This window comes from Homo sapiens, chromosome 5 (assembly GCF_000001405.40).
Source record: "Homo sapiens chromosome 5, GRCh38.p14 Primary Assembly".
NCBI classification, from domain to species: domain Eukaryota; kingdom Metazoa; phylum Chordata; class Mammalia; order Primates; family Hominidae; genus Homo; species Homo sapiens.
This window is the reverse complement of record NC_000005.10, coordinates 134,670,501-134,692,479: the sequence shown is the minus strand read 5'-3', so window position 1 is coordinate 134,692,479 and position 21,979 is coordinate 134,670,501. Positions and strand designations below refer to the sequence as shown.

General features: G+C 41.4%; 1 protein-coding gene across 7 annotated transcripts in view, besides 1 other annotated feature; it reads right to left on the bottom strand.

Moving 5' to 3' along the window:
- SEC24A (SEC24 homolog A, COPII component) overlaps positions 1–21,979 on the bottom strand; it is a 79,528-nt gene that overhangs the window by 35,430 nt on the left and 22,119 nt on the right. For all 7 annotated transcript variants that reach the window (XM_017008961.3, XM_047416648.1, NM_021982.3 and 4 more), the window contains 8 exons: positions 20,594–20,671; positions 17,705–17,865; positions 17,263–17,435; positions 16,355–16,457; positions 12,752–12,878; positions 9,998–10,107; positions 5,578–5,690; positions 4,181–4,299 (listed from right to left, as the gene is read on the bottom strand). In XM_017008961.3, the coding sequence (XP_016864450.1) occupies positions 4,181–4,299; positions 5,578–5,690; positions 9,998–10,107; positions 12,752–12,878; positions 16,355–16,457; positions 17,263–17,435; positions 17,705–17,865; positions 20,594–20,671 (984 nt within the window). The remainder of the gene's footprint in view (positions 1–4,180; positions 4,300–5,577; positions 5,691–9,997; positions 10,108–12,751; positions 12,879–16,354; positions 16,458–17,262; positions 17,436–17,704; positions 17,866–20,593; positions 20,672–21,979) is intronic.
- Positions 1,517–1,715: a silencer, noted in NCBI's record as "fragment chr5:134026455-134026653 (GRCh37/hg19 assembly coordinates)". NCBI's record gives its function as "represses an EF-1alpha promoter that drives an FKBP-Casp9 reporter gene in an ReSE screen in K562 erythroleukemia cells {active_cell/tissue: K562}" and the evidence as "EXISTENCE:reporter gene assay evidence [ECO:0000049][PMID:32094911]".

The window sequence follows — 21,979 nt, the reverse complement described above, 5'->3', positions numbered from 1 at the left end:
TAGCACTGTTTACATGTGTCCAAAGAACCACCAAAAAACCACCACAATGATACAGGTATCTACTGCAAATTTTCTGCTTCTTGTCTGCTACCTTGTAAAAGGTACAGCCTCCCAATTAGAAAATATTTATCTGGGCCAGGTGCAGTAGTACACGCCTGTAATCCCAGCACTTTGAGAGGCTGAGGTAAGTGAATGACTTGAACTCAGGAGTTTGAGACCAGCCTGGGCAACACAGTAAAACCCTGTCTTTACAAAAAGTACAAAAATGAGCCAGGCATGGTGGTACATGCCTATAGTCCCAGCTATGTGGGAGGATTCCTTGAGCCCGGGAGGCTGAGGCTGCAGTGAGCCAAGATTGCACCACTGCACTCCCAGGCTAGTGGGGAGGTTGAGACCCTGTCTCCAAAAAAAAAAAAAAAAAAGGAAAGAAAAAAAATAAAATATTGATCTGTACTCACTGAATTTGTGTAAGTGCTATGCTTCTTAGGCTAAAGATAATAATTTACAATTCTGCTTTGACCTTTTTTTTTTTTTTTAAATGGCTGGCCCTGGAAGCCAGCCAAAGATACACTCTTGGCATTAAGAAATTTTTTTGACTAACATGACACACAAGAATGCTGTCTTCATAAGGAAGCAATACAGCTCACCAATAGCTCTGTCATTCACAAAGCAGATGCTTTCTCATAAAGAAGGTCGGCCGGGCACGGTGGCTCATGCCTGTAATCCCAGTACTTTGGGAGGCCGACGCGGGCGGATCACAAGGTCAGGAGCAATGTGGTGAAACCCTGTCTCTAGTAAAAATACAAAAAGTTAGCCAGGCGTGGTGGTGGGCACCTGTAGTCCCAGCTACTCGGGAGGCTGAGGCAGGAGAATCACTTGAACCCGGGAGGCGGAGGTTGCAGTGAGCCGAGATAGTGCCACTGCACTCCAGCCTGGGTGACAGATCAATCAAGACTCGTCTCAAAAAAAAAAAAAAAGAAGGCCCACACCAGTGCCTTTAAAAAGGGACTATGGGCTGGGTGCGGTGGCTCGTGCCTGTAATCCCAGCACTTTGGGAGGCTGAGGCAGGTGGATCATGAGGTCAGGAGTTCAAGACCAGCCTGGCCAAGATGGTGAAACCCTGTCTCTACTAAAAATATAAAAAGTAGCCAGGCGTGGTGGGCACCTGTAAGCCCAACTACTCGGGAGGCTGAGGCAGAGAATTGCTTGAACCCAGGAGGCAGAGTTTGCAGTGAGCCACCAAGATCGCGCCACTGCACTCCAGCCTGGGTGACAGAGCAAGACTCCTTCTCAAAAAAAAAAAAAAAAAGAATGGGACTATGGAGGCCGGGCATGGTGGTTCATGCCTGCTATAATCCCAGCACTTTGGGAGGCCGAGGTGGGCAGTTCACTTGAGGCCAGGAGTTTGAGACCAGATTGGCCAACATAGTGAAACCCCATTATTTACTAAAAACCACAAAAATTAGCTAGGCATAATGGCACATGCCTGTAATCCCAGCTACTCGGAAGGCTGAGGCATGAGAATCGCTTGAACCTGGGAGGCAGAGACTGCAGTGAGCCAGTGAGCCAGTGAGCTGAGATCGCGCCACTGCACTGCAGCCTGGGCAACAAAGCAAGACTCTGTCTCCAAAAACACAAAACAAAACGAACAAACAAAATTAATGGGACTGCAAAATCAAGTGAATCAGAAGGTATGCTACCTGACCACTTCAGATGAGCCTCTCAGGATTCACATTTATTCAATAATTGCTTAGGAATTCTTCCTTAGAAAGGGAGCAAACTGGGAAGAGAGTGGTGGAGGATTACAAGGATAATCACTTTCTAGATTTCTATATTTTGTTTCTGATTACAAAAAAATAAGGCCTGGCCAGGTGTGGTGGCCCATGCCTATACTCTCAACACTTTGGGAGGATGAGGCGAAAGGACTGCCTAAGGCCAGGAGTTTGAGACCAGCCTGTGCAACTTAGCAAGACCTTGCCTCTACAAGAAATTTTAAAAATTAGCTGGGCGTGGTAGCGTGTGCCTGTATTTCCAGCTACTTGAAAAGCCGAGGTGGAAGGATCGCTTGAGCCCAGGGCTTCAAGGCTGCAGCAAGCTATGATTGCACCATTGCACTGCAACATGGGCAACAAGAGTCTCTGTCTTTAAAAAAATAGTAATAGCCAGGCACAGTGACTCACACCTGTAATCCCAGCACTTTGGGAGGCAGAGGCGGGCAGATCACCTGAGGTCAGGAGTTCAAGACCAGCCTGGCTAACACGGTAAGACCTTGTTTCTACTAAAAATACAAAAAATTAGCTGGGCGTGGTGGCACGCACCTATAATCCCAGCTACTCAGGAGGCTGAGGTAGGAAAATCACTTGAACCTGGGAGGTGGAGGTTGCAGCGAGCCGAGATGGCGCCATTGCGCTCCAGCTTGGGCAACAAAAGTGAAACTCCATCTCAAAAAAAAAATGTAATAATTATGACAACTCCCTATTAATCGCCCTCCCCCCCCAGCCCCTGGTAACCTCTATTCCATTTTCTGTCTCTATGAATTTGCCTATTCTAGGTACTATATATAAGTGGAACCATACAATATTTGTCGGTTTGTGTCTTGCTTATTTCACTTAGCATGTTTTCCAGGTTCATCCACATTGTAGCACGTGTGAGAATTTCATTGTTTTTTTAAGGCTGAATAATAAATATTCCATTATACGTTTTTTTTTTTTTTCTTGAGATGGAGTCTCACTCTGTCGTCCAGGCTGGAGTGCGGTGGCACGATCTCGGCTTGCTGCAAGCTCCGCCTCCTCCCGAGTTCACGCCATTCTCCTGCCTCAGCCTCCCGAGTAGCTGGGACTACAGGTACGCACCACCACGCCCAACTAATTTTTGTATTTTTAGTAGAGACGGGGTTTCACCATGTTGGCCAGGATGGTCTTGATCTCTTGACCTCGTGATCCACCCGCCTCGGCCTCCTGAAGTGCTGGGATTACAGGCGTGAGCCACCGCACTCGGCCCCATTATACGTTTATACCACATTTTATTTATCTATTCATCTGTTGATGGCTACTTGGGGTGTTTCCACCTTTTGGCTATTGTGAATGATTGCTATTGCTATAAACAATGATGTACAAGCATCCGCTTGAGTCTCTGCTTTCGATTTTTTGGAGTATATATTGAACGGTGGAATTGCTACATAATGTGATAATTCACCATTAACTTTGAGGAATTGCCAAGGTATTTTCCACAGCAGTTATGCCATTTTACATTCTGACCAGCAGTGCACCAGGGTTCTAATGTTTCCACATCTAGTGGCATAAATATTTGCCCCTGTTTTATACTTATAGCTCTTAAGTTTAGGTCTTTAGTCCATTTCAAGTTAATTTTCTTTACATGGTATAAAGTAAAGGTCCAACCTCATTCTCTTACATAGGCAGTATTGCCACAACTATTTGTTGAAAAAACTGTCTCTTCTCCCACTGATTGTTCTAGGCACCTTTGTCAAAAATCACTTAACTGGCTGTGGGTGGTGGCTCATGCCTGTAATCCCAGTACTTTGTGGGGCCAAGAGAGGCAGATCACTTGAGGTCAGGAGTTTGAGACCAGCCTGGCCAACATGGTGAAACCTCATCTCTACTAAAAATACAAAAATTAGCTGGGCATGGTGTTGCATGCCTGTTGTCCCAGCTACTCGGGAGGCTGAGGCAGGAGAATTGCTTGAAACCGGGAGGCATAGGCTGCAGTAAGCCAAGATCGTGCCACTGCACTACAGCCTGGGCGACAGAGTGAGACTCCATCTCAATAAATAAATAAATAAATAAATAAATAAAATCAATTGACTATATATGCTAGGCTTTATTCTGAGCTCTCAATTCTATTTCCTTGCTCTATATGTCTATCCTCAAATACTTTTTGAATGAATAAATGGGAAGAAGGGGGAAAAAAAGCCTAAATTTGATCTGAGTTCTAACATTAACTTGTTTTTGTTAACTTGTTCAGCGGGTTGTCTCCATAACCCCCATTTCCTCCTCCATAAAATGAGAGATTGAACTGAAAGACTCTTACAACTCCAACAATCATGATTTTATACTCAAGATTTTCCTTGACATACTACAAACAACACACATCCAATTTGTCAAGTAATCAAGAAATATTTCTAAAACTGAAAAATTATGAAAGTAGTTCAATAAATCTATACCTTCAATATCTGAAACTATTAGCATCTGAGGTTGAGAGAGACTTTCCTGAAGACCGTAGAAATGGATTGTACTGTCAAATGTTATGAAGCCAATTTTTGTTCTAGTGTTGCCAGGAAGCCTAAAAACAAATTCAGAAGAGTATTTTATCAAGTTTTAACCACATACAAATACACATAAAATATGTCCTAAGAGTTACATGAAAATATCTAATTCAATATTATAGAAATTGGCCCAACACAAACAAATGTTTAAACCACCCAACGTTTACCATGAAAACATATCTGACTCAAAGGGAAAACACTACATGTAAGCCAAACAATAAACAAAAAACAGCAATAATACAACAATCCAAAACCAAGTATAGCTATGTAAAGCTACATATAATCACTTAGGAAACAGTATGTTAAAAATACTGAAAAGTATTAATGAAATTTTGCAGATGATTTTAAGTTATAAAGCATGCTTCAAAATATTATGATACAGAAACTCTAATATTTAAGAACAAAGAAAAGCAAAAGCATCTATTTTAAAGAACTACAAATATGTGGAACTACAATTATATAAGGGGAAGAACAAACTGTTTTTCACTCTTGTTCATGCATGGGTGAGTCAGTGACAATCTCATCAATTCACAATCCCCATTCACAATCTACAACATTAAAAATACAAATGCTGGCAGGAACAAGAATGAGCTTTTCACCAAAGTGAAGGAGTTACTCCACTCGTGATGAAATTTGGCCTTCTATATGCCTCCACACCACACACAAGCACTATACTTCATTACATAGAAAGGTCACATTAGCTTTGATGGGTTACACTAGGTCTCTAAGCACCACTGGAAATAGTTATTTTAAGAGACTTAAGACACTTGATAACCAAATGCAATGTGTGTATACTGTTTAAATTCTTACTCCAATAAACTGACAGTAAAAAGGCATTTTTGAGACAACTAGGAACAAAAAATAAACTAGGTATTAGATCATATGTGGAATTACTGCTAATTTTCCTTAATACTTTAGTATTATAGTTAGGTATAAAAGTTAGTCTTGAAGTACGTATAGGTAAAACAGTATGCTGGCTGAAATTTGCTTTCAAATACTCAAGGTGGGAAAAGGTATGTGCATGAAAGGGGAAGGATGAGATTAAGCAAAAATAGCAAAATGCTGAAGATGATGAATCTGGGTGACAGGTGACTGGAAGTTCATTACATTATTCTTCCTACCAACTATAGATTTAAAAATAATGTTTCGAAGAGAAAGTGAGGCCTAAATTAACAACTGATTTGGGTGGAGTTTTAGAACATAATTATACAGCTTTTATTTTTTAATTTCAAAAACTACTTATTCATTTAGAAAATATTATTAGTTTCATATTTAAGCTGAATTGAGAAACTTACAAATCCAGATTGTCTAACAAACTCTGGCAAACTGAATTCAAGTATCCAGTTTCGACTGCATTGTGAGACACATCAAATACAAAGAGATACACTGGAGGCTGAGGTGGTCGTAACTGAAGAAAAAAAGATCTTGTTAAGTACATTTAACAGGATTAAGTTTAAACTTATTTGCTGGGTACACATACAGCAAAACAATTTAAAAAGCATTATTTACAGATTGAGTAGAGATTATAATAAACAGGCAAAGCTATACTATATTGTTTATAGATGTACACTTAAAGGAAAAATGAGTCTGTGATTGCCGTAATTCAGAAGAGTGTTTTCTCTAGAACAGGAAGGGGAAGAGATGTAATCAGAAGGGCCTGTGGCTGGGCGTGGTGGCTCATGCCTGTAATCCCAGCACTTTGGGAGGCCAAGGCGGGCAGATCACCTGAGGTCAGGAGTTCGAGACCAGCGTGACCAACATGGCGAAACCCCGTCTCTACTAAAAATACAAAAATTAGTCAGATGTGGTGGCAGGCGCTTGTAGTCCCAGCTACTCTCGGGAGGCTGAGGCAGGAGGATCACTTGAACCTGAGAGATGGAGGTTGCAGTGAGCCGAGATTATGCCACTGCACTCTAGCCTGGGCGACAAAGTGAGACTCCATCTCAAAAAAAAAAAAAGAAGGGATTCTGGGAGTATTAGCAAGGTTCAACTGCTTGGCTTGGGTTATACTAACAAAAGTGTTTAGTTTATAATGATTTGGTAATCTGAATATTTTGTGTTTTATTGATTTTTCAATATGTTTGTTGGATTTCACAATTTAGGGAAATTATAGCTCTGAAAGTTACAAGTTAGCTTCAGCTGGTTATTTAAACAACAAATTACAGCCAAATCTCATAAAAACATAAGACTGTATTTTTTTTTTTACTTTGAGATGGAGTCTCGCTGTGTCCCCCATGCTGGAGAGCAGTGGTGTGATCTCAGCTCACTGCAACCTCTGCCTCCTGGGTTCAAGAGATTCTCCTGCCTCAGCCTCCTGAGTAGCTGGGATTACAGGCACGCGCCACCACGCCCGGCTAATTTTTGTATTTTTTTAGTAGAGACAGGGTTTCACCATTTTGGCCAGGCTGGTCTTGAACTCCTGATCTCATGTGATCCGCCCGCCTTCGCTGCCTCCCAAAGTGCTGGGATTACAGGTGTGAGCCACTGCACCTGGCCAAGACTGTATTTTAAACTTCCAAATCCAAAGATTTGTTCTCAATTCAGTAAAAAGCATCAAATAGCCACAGTCAGAACTGGGTATGTAGTATACAATCTTCCCTTGGTATCTGCAAGAGATTAGTTCCAGGATCTCCCACCTCGAATACCAAAATCTAAGGATGCTCAATTCCCTTACATACAATAGTGTATTATTTGCATATAACCTATGCACATCCTTTTGTATACTTTAAATCATCTCTAGATTTTTAAAATAATACCTAATACAACATAAATGCTATGTAAATAGTTGCTATACTGTATATTAAAATTTGTATTATTATTTTTTTTTTTTTAGAGAGAAGGTGTTGCTCTGTCACTCAGGCTGGAGTGCAGTGATGCAATGCAATCACAGCTCACTGCAGCCTTGAACTCCTGGGCTCAAGCGATCCTTCCACCTCAGCCTCCCAAGTACCTGGGACTATAAGCACACACCACAATTCCTGAAATTTTTTGCAGAGACTTGGGTCTCGCTACATTGCCCAGGCTGGTCTCGAACTGTTGGCTTCAAGCAATCCTCCTGCATCGGCTTCCCAAAGTGCTGGGATTATAGGTGTGAGCCACCATGTCTGTCCTATAATATTTTTTACTGTGTTTTTCTGAACATTTTCGATCCATGGGTAGTTGAATCCACGGATGCAGAACTCATGGATACAGAGTCAACTGTACTTTTATATATTTTTGCATGTATCACTTGCCAAATCCACACAACCTGCCCCTCAAGAGATAGAAAGGAGCAAACACCTTCTGCTATAGGAAAGTTTCTAAATTTAAAGGAAGCAATTTTTGCAAAGTGTGGGTGATAAAGGGAAACTAGGAAGGTAAATTTAAAAGAACAAGTGCTTCTGGTTTTTTTTGTTTTAATCCAATAAAGGAACATCTACTCTGTAGATGGCTATTACCAACCACTTAAGTGCAACAAAATGTTTTCTTTTTCTTTTTTGTTTTTTGAGATGGAGTCTCGCACGGTTGCCCAGGCTGGAGTGCAGTGGCGCAATCTCGGCTCACTGCAACCTCTGCCTCCCTGGTTCAAGCAATTCTCCTGCCTCAGTCTCCCAAGTAGCTGGGATTACAGGCGTATGTCACCACATCTGGCTAACTTTTGTATTTTTAATAGAGATGGGGTTTCACCATGTTGGTAAGGCTGGTGTCGAACTCCTGACCTCCAGTCATCCGCCCACCTTGGCCTCCCAAATTGCTGGGATTACGGGTGTGAGCCACTGCACCTGGCCAACAAAATGTTTTCTATATAGAAGCTTTTCTGTGGTAAGGAGACTGGTTCCTCATAAGTTTACAGAAAAATGGACCCAACTGCCCAGATAAAGACACAAAAATATATTAATTTTTTTTTTTTTTTTTTGAGATGGAGTTTCGCTCTTTTGCCCAGGCTGGGGTGTGGTGGCGCAACCTTGGCTCACTGCAACCTCTGACTTTCGGTTTCAAGCATTTTTCCTGCCTAAGCCTCCCAAGTAGCTGGGATTACAGGCACTCACCACCAGGCCCGGCTAATTTTTGTATTTTTAGTAGAGACGGGGTTTTACCATGTTGGCCAGGCTGGTCTCGAACTCCTGACCTCATAATCCGTCTGGCTTGGCATCCCAAAGTGCTGGGATTACAGGCAGGAGGCACTGTGCCCAGCCAAAATACACTAAAATATTAAAAGGTAGTGTTGAGAGTTATCTTCATATTCCCTTTTCCCAAGAGATAATTATGGCATGGTGAAAGAGTAACCAAATCAAAAGGCCTAAATTATTATGCAAGTTCTACTACTAAGTGAAATTTGGCATGTCACTTAACCTAAGTCTGTTTTCATATCTGTAAAAGAGGATTAACAGCATTTTTCTAGCTTGCTTCAGAATACTGTTTGTGCTGATCAAAAGTGTACGTGCTTTATAAAATGTAAAGTGCTAATTAAACATTAGGCATTCACAAGCAGCCTAAGCAACATAGTGAGACTCTGTCTCTAAAAAACTTTTAAAAAATTAGCAGGGCATGGTGGTGCATGTCTGTAGTCCCAGCTACTTGGGAGGCTGAGGCAGGAGAATTGCTTGAGCCCATGAAGTTGAGGCTACAGTGAGCTATGATAGTGCCACTGCACTTTAGCTTCAGCAACAAAGTAAGACCCTCCTCTCTAAAAGAAATAAACGTTAAACAAAAAAATTAGGCATAGTAATTAGTTTTAAAATGCAAGACCTCAGATATTCTCACGGGTGTAGAAAAGAACAATATTTGCAAGAGGATCTTCATCACAGCATTATTTCTAATAGAAAAAAAATTTGTATGAAGGAAAAATGAAGCAATAGGGAAAAAAAAACTGACTGTAACTTATAAGTAAATATGAGCTGGCCGGGCACGGTGGCTCATGCCTGTAATCCCAGCACTCTGGGAGGCCGAGGTGGGAGGATCACAAGGTCAGGAGTTTGAGACCAGCCTGACCAACATGGTGAAACCCCGTCTCTATTAAAAACTCAAAAATTAGCCAGGTGTTGGCTCGCGCCTATAATCCCAGCTACTCAGGAGGCTGAGGCAGGAGAATTGCTTGAACCCGGGAGGCGGAGGTTGCAGTGAGCCAAGATCACAGCACTGCACTCCAGCCTGGGTGACAGAGTGAGACTCCGTCTCAAAAAAAAAAAGTAAATACGAGCCCAATATCATATTGGAAATTTCTGAATGTCACATAAGACACTTAAATGGGACTTTACATAAACTTTTACCTTTCAAATATACCCTTATATATTAATTACTTTAGTAATAAACAAGTATTACACTTTTACACATTTAAAAACATAAAATTTTGGCTGGGCACAGCGGCTCACACCTGTAATCCCAGCACTTTGGGAGGCCAAGGTGGGCAGATCACTCGAGCCCAGGAATTCGAGACCAGCCTGGGCAACATAGCAAAACTCTGTCTCTAATAAAAATAAGCCAGGTGTGGTGGTGCGTGCCTATAGCCCCAGCTACTCAGGAGGCTGAGGTGGGAGGATCACTTGAGCACGGGAGGTCGAGGCTGCAGTGAGCCTTGAACCTGCCACTGCACCACTGCACTCCAGCATGGGCAATGAGAGTGAAACTCTGTCTCAAAATAAAATAAAATAAAATTTTGTTACAGGATGCTGTATTGTTTTACTTAAAACCTGGTAATAAAAAATGGGTATACTGTATCAAAAAATAAAAGTTTACCATGTATTCTGAAGGAGCCATAAACTCAATAGTAGCATTTTGAACTTCTGGTCTTCTGTGAGGTTCTCCATAAACTCTGGTCAAAGGGTTGTACAAGAATTCTTCAGGAACTATATAAAGTTAACAATACACATATTGAAAAAACTGAAAAGAATTTAATGTATTTTGCATTTGGCCACTTTCTTCCTTGAAAAGATGACAAACATTCATTAAATGTCAATTATTTTCTTTTTTTTTTTTGAGACAGAGTTTCACTCTGTTGCCCAGGCTGGAGTGCAGTGGTGCAATGTCAGCTCACTGCAACCTCCACCTCCTAGGTTCAAGCGATTCTCCTGCCTCAGCCTCCCGAGTAGCTAGGATTACAGGCATGCGCCACCACGCCCGGCTAATTTTTTGTATTTTTAGTACAGACGGGGTTTCTCCATGTTGGTCAGGCTGGTCTCGAACTCCCAACCTCAGGTGATCCGCCCGCCTTGGCCTCCCAAAGTGCTGGGATTACAGATGTGAGCCACCACACCCGGCCTATTTTCTTAAACTTCCCAATTATACAAGGATATTAACATTTCACATATGAAATGTACAGACACTAGCTGGCACTAGAAGCTATGGTAAGACAATTTCAGAGGTCAAGGTCATAAGGTTTAGTAAGTTTCATTAATTAATGAGAACTTTATGGAACATCACTTAACCTAACATCATACCTACCACTTATAATACACTAGTGGTCAAAGAGTATTTTCTAAATTAATTATCATTGTATCTGTCTTCCTACTAATTGTTTAGAAATTCAAATCCCTATGCACTCTAAAGGTTAAGCTATAGTTCAGGAAATAGCCTGGTTTGCAGATGAAAGGGGCTTCAACTTTTATTATAATTTCATTTTGTATATTAAAGCACCTACACATAAAAATTTTAAAGGTAACTAAATACTTCATGTACATTTTCAGAATTGTTACAGTGCAAGAGAAAGTTCTTAGCCTATCCTTACTTTTCTATACTCAAAACACACACACACACACACACACACACACACACACACAAACAATAAAACTGTTTTTTTGTTTTGTTTTATTTGTTTGTTTGAGATGGAGTTTTGCTCTTGTTGCCAAGGCTGGAGTGCAATGGTGCAATCTCGGTTCACTGCAACCTCCGCCTCCCGGGTTCAAGCGATTCTCCTGCCTCAGCCTCCCGAGTAGCTGGGATTACAGGTGCCCGCCACCACACCCAGCTAATTTTTTTATATTTTTAGTAAAGATGGGGTTTCACTACATTGGCCAGGCTGGTCTCAAACTCCTGACCTTAGGTGATCCACCCACCTCAGCCTCCCAAAGTGTTGGGATTACAGGCATGAGCCACTGCACCTGGCTCTGTTTTGTTTGTTTTTGAGACAGAGTCTCGCTCTGTCGCCCAGGCTGGAGTGCAATGACTCGATTTCGGCTCACTGAAACCTTTGCTTCCTGGGTTCAAGCGATTCTCCTGCCTCAGCCTCCCGAGTAGCTGGGATTATAGGTGCCCGCCACCACACCCGGCTAATTATTGTATTTTTAGTAAAGATGGGGTTTCACTGTGTTGGCCACACTGATCTCGAACTCCTGACCTCAGGTGATCCACCGCCTCGGCCTCCCAAAGTGCTGAGATTAGAGGCGTAAGCCACCGTGCCCATCCAATAAAACTGGTTTTTAAAAACTCTTGGCCAGGGCTGGGTGTGTTCTCGGGAGGCTGAGGCAGGAGAATTGCTTGAACCTGGGAGGCAGAGAGGTTTCAGTGAGCTGAGATCATGCCACTACACTCCAGCCTGGCGACAGAGCCAGACTCTGTCTCAAAAACAAACAAACAAAAACAAACTCTTGGCCGGGTGCAGTGGCTCATGCCTGTTAATCCCAGCACTTTGGGAGCCTGAGGTGGGCAGATCACTTGAGGTCAGGAGTTCTAGACCAGCCTGGCCAAAACGGTGAAACTCCACCCCTACTAAAAATATAAAAATTAGCCGGCCGTGGTGGTGGATGCCTGTAATTCCAGCTACTCAGGAGGCTGAGGCAGGAGAATCGCTTGAACCTGGGAGGCGGAGGTTGCAGTGAGCCAAGATCGTGCCACTGCACTCAAGCCTGGGCAACAGAGTGAGACTCCATCTCAAAAACAAAAACAAAAACAAAACTCTTATATTCCTCTATTTCTCAAATCTTTCAAATAGACACTGTGGATACTGGCATACCCACTTCCTTCTCTAATACTAACAGAACCCTGTTGATTACATTATAGTCCTCAAATAAAAACTGTGACATAGTTATTGAGAGAAATCTCCTCCTCCTCAATTACTGAGAAAACTACATTCAACTAACCTTCTAGCACTGCCTACTTCCCTTCATTCAGCAGTGAATGAATTGGGCAGCTATTCTGTGGACTTATTTTCTTTCACCCTAGAGAAAAGGCGTGGGACAATTTCTAAATAAAAATGTTTCTTAAATTCCTGGCTTAAGTAATACCATGAAATATACCACTTATTATATACCCAATACAATGTAAAAATGGGATATCCATGTAATACTATCATTATTTTTTGCTTAAAAAATAAATAATTAAATTTATTTATAAATATAAACGCACAGAAAAAAGTTACCTGTAGTTTTCTCTGAGTGGAAGGATTGACTAGAGGTAAATAAAAGGGTTTTTTTTTTTTAACTGTGCATTTGTATCATCTGATTTCCCTACAATGCAAGTAGAAACGTTTAAATGTTTCAAAAAAGCATCCCATACCATCATTGACTCGATAACATAAGTTACACTTCCATCTCCTTTGATCAAGAAAGCTGACGAAAGGATTGATGTACGTCCTGCATGAACGGCATCTCACAATTGTACTGGAGGTAACCACAGGCAATTGCTGGAAAAAAAAAAACAGAATTAAATTTTTAAAGGCAAAAATCATCATGTTGAAAACATAAGCATGAATCCATCCTGTCTAAATAACTGTTGGGATATTATCATTTTAGAGAAAACTTAGAGTACAAGATGTATCTAAACTGCCATACACAAAAACCATGTAGTTGAAATGTATTAATTTTAAACCCTACTATTTTGCTCCAAGACCATTCTCATTAAAAGTTGTCTTAAAAAAAAAAATTATTGGCTGGGGACAGTGGCTCACATGTGTAACTCCAGCACTTTGGGAGCCAAGGCGGAAGGATTGCTTGAGGCCAGGAGTTTGAGACCGGCCTGGGCAACATAGTGAAACATGACCCTCTCAAAAGATTTAAAAAATTAGCCCAGTGTGGTGAGCTGGGTTGAAGTGGGAGCATCACTTGAGCCTGGGAGGTCAAGGCTGCAGTGAGCCATGACTGAGCCACTGCACTCCAACATGGGCAACAGAGCAAGACCCAGTCTCAAAAAATAAAATAAAATAAAAATGTAAAAACCATTTTTTTCCTCATTAAACACTCATATTGCAAAACCAAAATAGCAGGCCAGGCACAGTGGCTAACACCTATGTCTAAAATCCCAGCACTCTGGTGGGAGGCCAAGGCAGGAAGATTACTTGAGGCCAGGAGTTTGAGACCAACCTGGGCAAGAAAGTAAGACCCTGTCTCTATTTTAAAAATAAAAATAGGCTGGGCGTGGTGGCTCATGCCTGTAATCCCAGCACTTTGGGAGGCCAAGGCGGGTGGAACGCGAGGTCAGGAGTTCAAGACCAGCCTGGCCAACGTGGTGAAACCTCGTCTATACTAAAAATACAAAAATTAGCTAGGCGTAGTGGCAGGTGCCTATAATCCCAGCTACTCAGGAGGCTGAGGCAGGAGAATTGCTTCAACCCTGGGAGGCAGAGGTTGCAGTGAGCCAAGATTACACCACTGTACTCCAGCCTGGGCAACAGAGCAAGACTCCATCTTGGAAATAAATTAAAAAAATATATATATATATATCCCAGTGCTTTGGAAGGCCAAAGCAGGAGGATCACTTGAGGCTGGGAGGTAGAGACCAACCTGAGCAACACAGCAACAGCCCATCTCTACCAAAAAAAAAGAGTTTTTAAATAAATAAATAATAAGTTAAAAAAATAAAACCAAGATGGTAAATTTACAATGTACTTTTGGCATAAATGGCAAAGAAAAAAAAATCAACATTCTAAAATATATGACCAATGAAACTATTACAAAGTTTGTTGATGTTACATTAAGAAGCTTACTTAGTTCTCAACTATAATAAAGTAAGGTGAGGTTAATTTAAATAACCAGTTAAACTTTGGAATTACACTCCTAGTTAAAGTTTATCCTACATATTAAAAGTTCTAAAGTCTTAGCTGGGTATAGTGGCCAATGCCTACAGTACCACTTACTCTGTCTGGAGGCTGAGGCAGGAGGACTGCTTGAGCCCAAGAGTTCAAGGCTGCAGTGAGCTATGATCATGGAACTGCACTCTAACCTGGGTGACAACGAGAGACCCGGTCTCTAATAAATAAATAAATAAATAACAGTAAATACGTGGGAAGGGTCTTTGTAAGACTATCAGATTTGGGGAGATTTGTTTTGATTTACCAGAAACCCTGAGACAGGTGAACACTGATCAACTTAACTGAGAGCCAGTGCCTTGGACAACAAAGTGACATAGCATCTCATCTTTAAAGAAAGGTTTTATTTATCTTTTTTTTTTTTTTTGAGACAGTCTCACTCTATTGCCCAGACTGGAGTACAGTGTGGGATCTTGGCTCACTGCAACCTCCACCTCCCGGGTTCAAGCGATTCCCTTGCCTCAGCCTCCCCAGTAGCTGGGATTATAGGTGTGCATCACCATGCTTGGCTAAATTTTCTATTTCTGGTAGAGACGAGTTTCACCACGTTGGCCAGGCTGGTCTTGAATTCCTGACCTCAGGTGATCTGCCCGCCTCAGCCTCCCAAAGTGCTAGGATTACAGGTGTGAGCCACTGCACCTGGCCTTTATTTTTTTTTTTTAAGATAAGGATCTCATACCCAATCCTGGGCAATGCAGTTAAGACTCTGCTTCTTAAAAAAAAAAAAAAAAATCAATACAGGCAATAAAATTATATCACCACCAAAAAAATCCTATCACCAAAAGTAGTGTGTTTTGGGAAAGTCAGCAATCCTCAAGAGTATGTGGCCACAGAGCTTTAGGACAAAGGTAGATCAGTTTCTTTTTTCTTCTGAAATAACTTTTCTTTTTGGATACAGGGTCTCACTCTGCCACCCAGGCTGGAGTGCAGTAGTACAATCATGTCTCACTGCAGCCTCAACCTCCTGGGCTCAAGTGATCCTCCCACCTTAGCCTCCCGAGTAGCCAGGACTAAGCTGGTCTTGAACTCATAGACCCAAGCAATTCTCCCACCTTGGCCTCCAAAAGTGCTGGGATTACAGGCCATGAGCCACCATGTCTGGCTTAAAACAACTTTTTAAAATAACAAATTTTACTGCAAGGATGGCAGAACGGGGAGACTAGGGTAAAGTACTTTAATGGGTAAATAATTCACAACCTATTAAAATAGTATGATTCATTTATTTAGTTTCTCTCAGTACCTCTATTCTATTCAGTACTTTTTGAATTTTCCAGCAATATACTTACTTTACCTAGTATTTGAAAGTGTTTAGTAATAAAATTTTTGGTTGAATTGTAAGTAATCTGTCAATCATCGACTTCCTAAAGACAGATCAAACAAATTCTATATGTAATTCTTGCATCATTGCAGAAAATTTTCATCACCAAGATAATTTTGCACAAAAGACATTTACCTTCACTAAAGAGGCCGGGTGTAGTGGCTCAGGCCTATAAATCCCAGCACTTTGGGAGGTGGGCAGATCACTTGAGGTCAGTTCGAGACCAGTCTGGCCAACATGGTGAAACACCATCTCTACTAAAAATAAAAAAATTAGCTGGGTGTGGTGGCAGATGCCTATAATGCCAGCTACTTAGGAAGCTGAGGCAAGAGAATTGCCCGAACCTGGGAGGCGGAGATTGCGGTGAGCCGAGATCTCGCCACTACACTCCAGCCTGGGCGACAGTGAGACCCAGTCTCAGAAAAAAAAAAAAAAAAAAAAAAAGAGCCGGGCGCAGAGGCTCACGCCTGTAATTCCAGCACTTTGGGAGGCCAAGGCAGGTGGATCACGAGGTCAGGAGTTCAAGACCAGCCTGGCCAAGATGGTGAAACCCCCTCTCTACTAAAAATACAAAAATTAGCCAGGCACGGTGGCAGGCACCTGTAATCCCAGCTACTAGGGAGGCTGAGGCAGGAAAATCACTTGAACATGGAGGGCAGAGGTTGCAATAAGCTGAGACTGCGTCACTGCACTCCAGCCTGGGCGACAGAGGGAGACTCCGTCTCAAAAAAAAAAAAAGAAAAGAAAAGAAACATACCACTAAGTCTTTGAAAGGATGAAGCAGCAGCCCCAAAGGAAGTTTGGCTTTATTCAATAAGGCCTGCGTCTGAGGAATGCTAGTCAGCGTGCATCGAAATAACCTATATCAAAGTAAAAAGTATGTATCAGTTGCTGCTATGATTATTTTTGAAGAAAACAACAACAAAGATTTAAAAGGTATACATTTTAATACTGGATCAGATTACAGATGAAATATTTCAATAGAGTCTCAAAATTTTATCCCATTTAAATATTTAAATCTAAGTCCTATGCAGAAATAGAGTGGATGGTTATCCTATAACTAAAATATAGTCTCTTTTTGGCTTGTGTGTAAAACAGTCTAAACTATCAAATGACTTATTTTTTGTTTTGTAAGTCTAGTTGACACTGGAATTAAATTAAACTTAGGTGATGGCCCAAATTGCAAAGTCTATTATTTAAAAGTTCAGTTTTGCTGAAGATTCTAAATACAATTTAAAGGTACCAAATTTAATTTATCAGAAATTATTGATCATATACATTTAAGCTTATGGTAAGTTTTTAGGAAAAAAAGGTATTATGTTTGTTATGAAATTAATTTTAAATGAGAGCAAATAAAGGATTATGTAGAAACAAATCCCTGTACTTTGGATTTTGAAGAAAGAAAGTAACCACCATAATGATAATGAATATCATAATCTCATTAGAGCTGATAAGAACAAAATCACTTCAGGAGTTACATCCCTATTTCTTGACGTAGGACTTTTCAAATCTCTATTAAGTAAACAAGTAAAAGAGTTCTATCATCTGTATCCAGAACTTTCATAAATTAATAATTTGTACAGCTTATTCATAACACCTGATGTGCCCCCTGCAAAAAGCTAGAAAACTTTTCGGACATGCATAATGTCACATCTGAAGCCTTACTCTGGGTTACAGTTGAGTTTCTGGATGTCTTCATGCAAATTTGGAACTGGAGGCTTCAAAGGTGTTGACGGAAGCATGTTTCTTTCTTGAAGAAGATTGACAACTCTTAGACCCTCTGGTTGTAGACTTAATCCACTCATGCTTGTGGTTAAATGATTAGCACCTAAGGGAGTCTACAGATACATAATTTTAAAGTAAGTAACTTTTATTAAGTGTGTAGGGAAGTGGTTAATTTCTCTGTAAATAACAAAAGTGTAATCTAGATCTCTTGGCCAATCTTTTGGTTCTGGAAAAATGTATAAAGACAAAGGCTTTATGAAATATCCATTATTATTCTAAATGGTTATAAAAATGTATAATATACCTTCCTAAAACTTTCTTCATGTGTATACAGTTTAAACCAAATGGAGAAATAGGTTAAAGAAAATCCCAAAAAGTTTACCTGAGTAAAGGCTTGTGGCCCACTTGGGTAATTCAAGGAAGAGGGTGGTACTCCAGTTGCACCAGGTGGTGTTGTGTTCTGATAACCAGGTGGTAAGGAGGGATATGAATATCCAACACTTCGGCTCATTTTGGGATTCTTGTTAGTAAGCTGTGGTGTTGCTAGAAACAAGGTAACTTTTAAGTTCTATTTTATACTCCAGAATACTTGATTTATTTATTTTAAAAAAACATTTTTTTTGGAGAAAGGGTCTCACTATTGCCCAGGCTGCAGTGCAGTGGTGCAATCACACCTCACTGCAGCCTTAACCTCCTAGGTTCAAGTGATCCTCCTGTGTCAGCCTCCCAAGTAGCTGGAATGACTGGTGTGTGCCATCATGCCCGGCTAATGTTTTTGTATGTTTTGTAGAGACGGGACTTCACCATGTTGTCCAGGCTGGGATTACAGGCGTAGGCCACCATGCCTGGCCCAGAATGCTTTAAATCAACACATAAATCTAATAAGTTATAGGTATTATAACTCCAAAATTCTTTGGATAATTTAATACTTTCATTTATCAAATTTTTAAAATAAGACAAACACCAGTAACAAATAGCAATGACTAAAATCTATTTATTTTATTTTATTTATCATTTTATTTTTCGAGATGGAGTCTCACTCTGTCGCCCAGGCTGGAATGCAGTGACACAACCTTGGCTCACTGCAACCTCTACCTCCCGGGTTCAAGCGATTTTCCTGCTTCAGCCTCTCGAGTAGCTGGGACTACAGGTGTGTGCCACCACACCACCTAATTTTTGTATTTTTAGTAGAGATGGGGTTTTACTACGTTGGTCAGACTGGTCTCAAACTCCTGACCTCAGGTGATCTGCCTGCCTTGGCCTCCCGAAGATAGGATTACAGGCCATGAGCCACCGTGCCCGGCCAAAAATCTTGTTAATGGATTTACACTAGTTAATATTTTATACTATAGTAGTAGACACAAAAACTAGTTTGCACAGTTAATTTACTTTCATGTCGGCTGGGTGTGGTGACTCATGCCTGTAATCCCAGCACTTTGGGAGGCTGAGGTGGGTGGATCACTTTGAGGTCAGGAGTTGGAGACCAGCCTGGCCAACACAGTGAAATCCCATCACTACTAAAAAGTACAAAAATTACCCAGATGTGGTGGCATGTGCCTGTAGTTCCAGCTACTTGAGAGGCTGAGGTGGTAGAACTGCTTGAATCCAGGAGGTGGAGGTGAGCCGAGATTGTGCCCACTGCACTCCAGCCTGGACGACAGAGGGAAACTGTCTCAAAAACAAAAACAAAAACAAAAACAAAAACAACAAAACAAAAGAACAGTTAATTTACTTTCATATCATGTACTAAATTTTGTATTCAGACTAAAATTTTAATTCAAAACAACTTTAATTATAACATCCTGGCAGGGCGAGGTGGCTCATACCTGTAATCCCAGCACTTTGGGAGGCCGAGGTAGGTGGATCACAAGGTCAGGAGATCGAGACTATCCTGGCCAACGTGGTTAAACCCTATCTCTACTAAAAATACAAAAATTAACTGGGCGTGGTGGCACGTGCCTGTAATCCCAGCTACTCGGGAAGCTGAGGCAGGAGAATCGCTTGAACCAGGGAGTTGGAGGTTGCAGTGAGCCAAGATCACACAACTGCACTCCAATCTGGGCGACACAGCAAGAATCCATCTCAGAAAAAAAAAAAAAAAAAAAATCCTAAATGGGCCGTGTGAGATGGTTCACACCTGTAATCCCAGCAAATCGGGGAACCAAGGCAGGAGGGATCTCTTCAAGCCAAGGGTTCGAGACCAGCCCAGGCAATATATTGAGACCCACCCCCCCATCTCTACAAAAATAAAAAAACTAGCCTGGCATGGTACCATATGCCTATAGTCCCTGCTACTCAGGGAGGGTGAGGTAGAAGATCGCACGAGCCCAGGAGTTTGAGGCTACAGTGAGCTATAACAGTGCTACTGCACTTGAGCCTGGGTGACAGAGACCCTGTCTCAAAAAAAAAAAATCCTAAAAGTACTCTATAGTCAAAACATAATAATAATAAATCCATGATCCCAATTCTGACAGAAGAAAAACTTAACAAAAAATCTAATGCATAGAAATAAAAAATGTTAAATAATAGAGCCAGATGTTATGGCACATGCCTATTATCCCAGCACTTTGGGAGGCAAAATGGGCAGATCGCTTGAGCCCAGGAATTCAAGACCAGCCTGGGTAACATGGTGAAACCCTGCCTCTACAAAAAATACAAAAATTAGCCAGGGCCTGGGCATGGTGGCTCATGCCTATAATCCCAGCACTTTGGGAGGCCGAGGCGGGCAGATCACTTGAGGTCAGGAGTTAGAGGACAGCCTGGCCAACATGGTGAAACCCTGTCTCTACTAAAAATACAAAAATCAGCAGGGTGTGGTGGCGGGTGCCTCTAATACCAGCTAACTGGGAGGCTTAAGTGGGAGAATCACTTGAACCCAGGAGGCAGAGGCTGCAGTGAACCGAGATACTGCCACTGCACTCCAGCCTAAGCAACAGAGCGAGACTCAGTCTCAAAAAACAAAAACAAAAACAAAAAGCTGGGCATGGTGACACGTGGCTATGGTCCCAGCTACTCAGGAGGCTGAGGTGGGAGGACTGCTTGAGCCCAGGAGACTGAGGCTGCAGTGAGCCATGATCGCACCACTGCACTCCAGCCTGAGCGACAGAGTGAGACCCTGTGTCCAAATAAATAAATAAATAAGTTAATAGTATGTATGGCTACATGATTATGAAGTTTCCCTCTTAGTTTCCTATATATTTGTACAATTACCACATATTATTTCTATAATCAGAAAAAAGAGATTAAAAAAAAAACTTTCATAGCATCTCACCCAATAAGCCACCTCCTTCAATCTCGTCGTAACTACTGTGGACCACCATAGATCCGTTATTGGTATTTGATGTAATACCTAAGAAGGAAGTTCATCAACAAGATTTTAATTAGAATGATTATTACAATCTCTGTATGATTTTAACTAATATCCAAAATTTTAAATAATTTTCTAAACAACAAATAATTTAAAACCACAGCCTATTAACAACATAAAAAATCCAAGTTTTTACATATACGATAGTTTCAAGTAATTTAGCTGCAACTTCAGGGAAAGGAAACATGAGTCTTTGGAAAGAGTCTTTTTTCACCTTACATTGTACCTAAGCCAAAGGCCCAAATAACAAGGCTTTTTCAAAACCTACTCCAGCAAAATAACTTCTAGCAAAAGATGGTTCTTTATGAAGTTTATAAAATTATATACCATCTGAAAGATTTCAGCAGTTGTGAGAGCTGCATTAAAAACCTCTAAGGAGCAGTACACAATGAAAAAAAATTATCAAAATCAAAACTACCTAAAGAAAAAGAGGCCAGGTGCGGTGGCTCACGCCTGTAATCCCAGCACTTTGGGAGGCCAAGGCGGGCGGATCACGAGGTCAGGAGTCAGAGATCAGCCTGGCCAACATGGGGAAACCCCGTCTCTACTAAAAATACAAAAAAAATTAGCTGGGTGTGGTGGCGCGTGCCTGTAATCAGCACATGCCTGTAATCAGCTACTCGGGAGGCTGAGACAGGGAATTCCTTGAACCTGAGAGGCAGAGGTTGCTGTGAGCCAAAATCGTGCCACTGCACTCCAGCCTGGGCGACAGAGCGAAACTCCATCTCAAAAAAACAAACAAAAAAAGAAAGTAAAATTATGAGGAGCAAAGACCTTACTTTCTTTTCTTTTCTTTTTTTTTGAGATGGAGTCTCACTCTGTTGCCCAGGCTGGAGTGAAGTGGTGCGATTTCAGCTCACAGCAACCTCCACCTCCTGGGTTCAAGGGATTCTCCTGCCTCAGCCTCCCATGTAGCTGGGACTACATGTGCCCGTCACCACGCCTGGCTAATGTTTTTGTATTTTAGTAGAGACAGGGGTTCACCATGTTGGCCAGGATGGTCTCAAACTCCTGGCCTCGTGATCCGCGTGCCTTGGCCTCCCAAAGTGCTGGGATTACAGGCATGAGCCACCGTGCCCAGCCCTTATTTTCAAAATATCTAACAATGAGAGTGGAATCCAAATTAATTTGAAGATGACATAAATGAATTAGAACAACTGCTTTAAGTCCAGAGGACAACCACTAAAATAGAATTAAAATCTTAACATCTCTTCTCCCAAAATTATACAGGATTAAAGACAAATGCCAGGGACATCTGTTTATGAGAACTAAATATTTATTTCTAGTTAC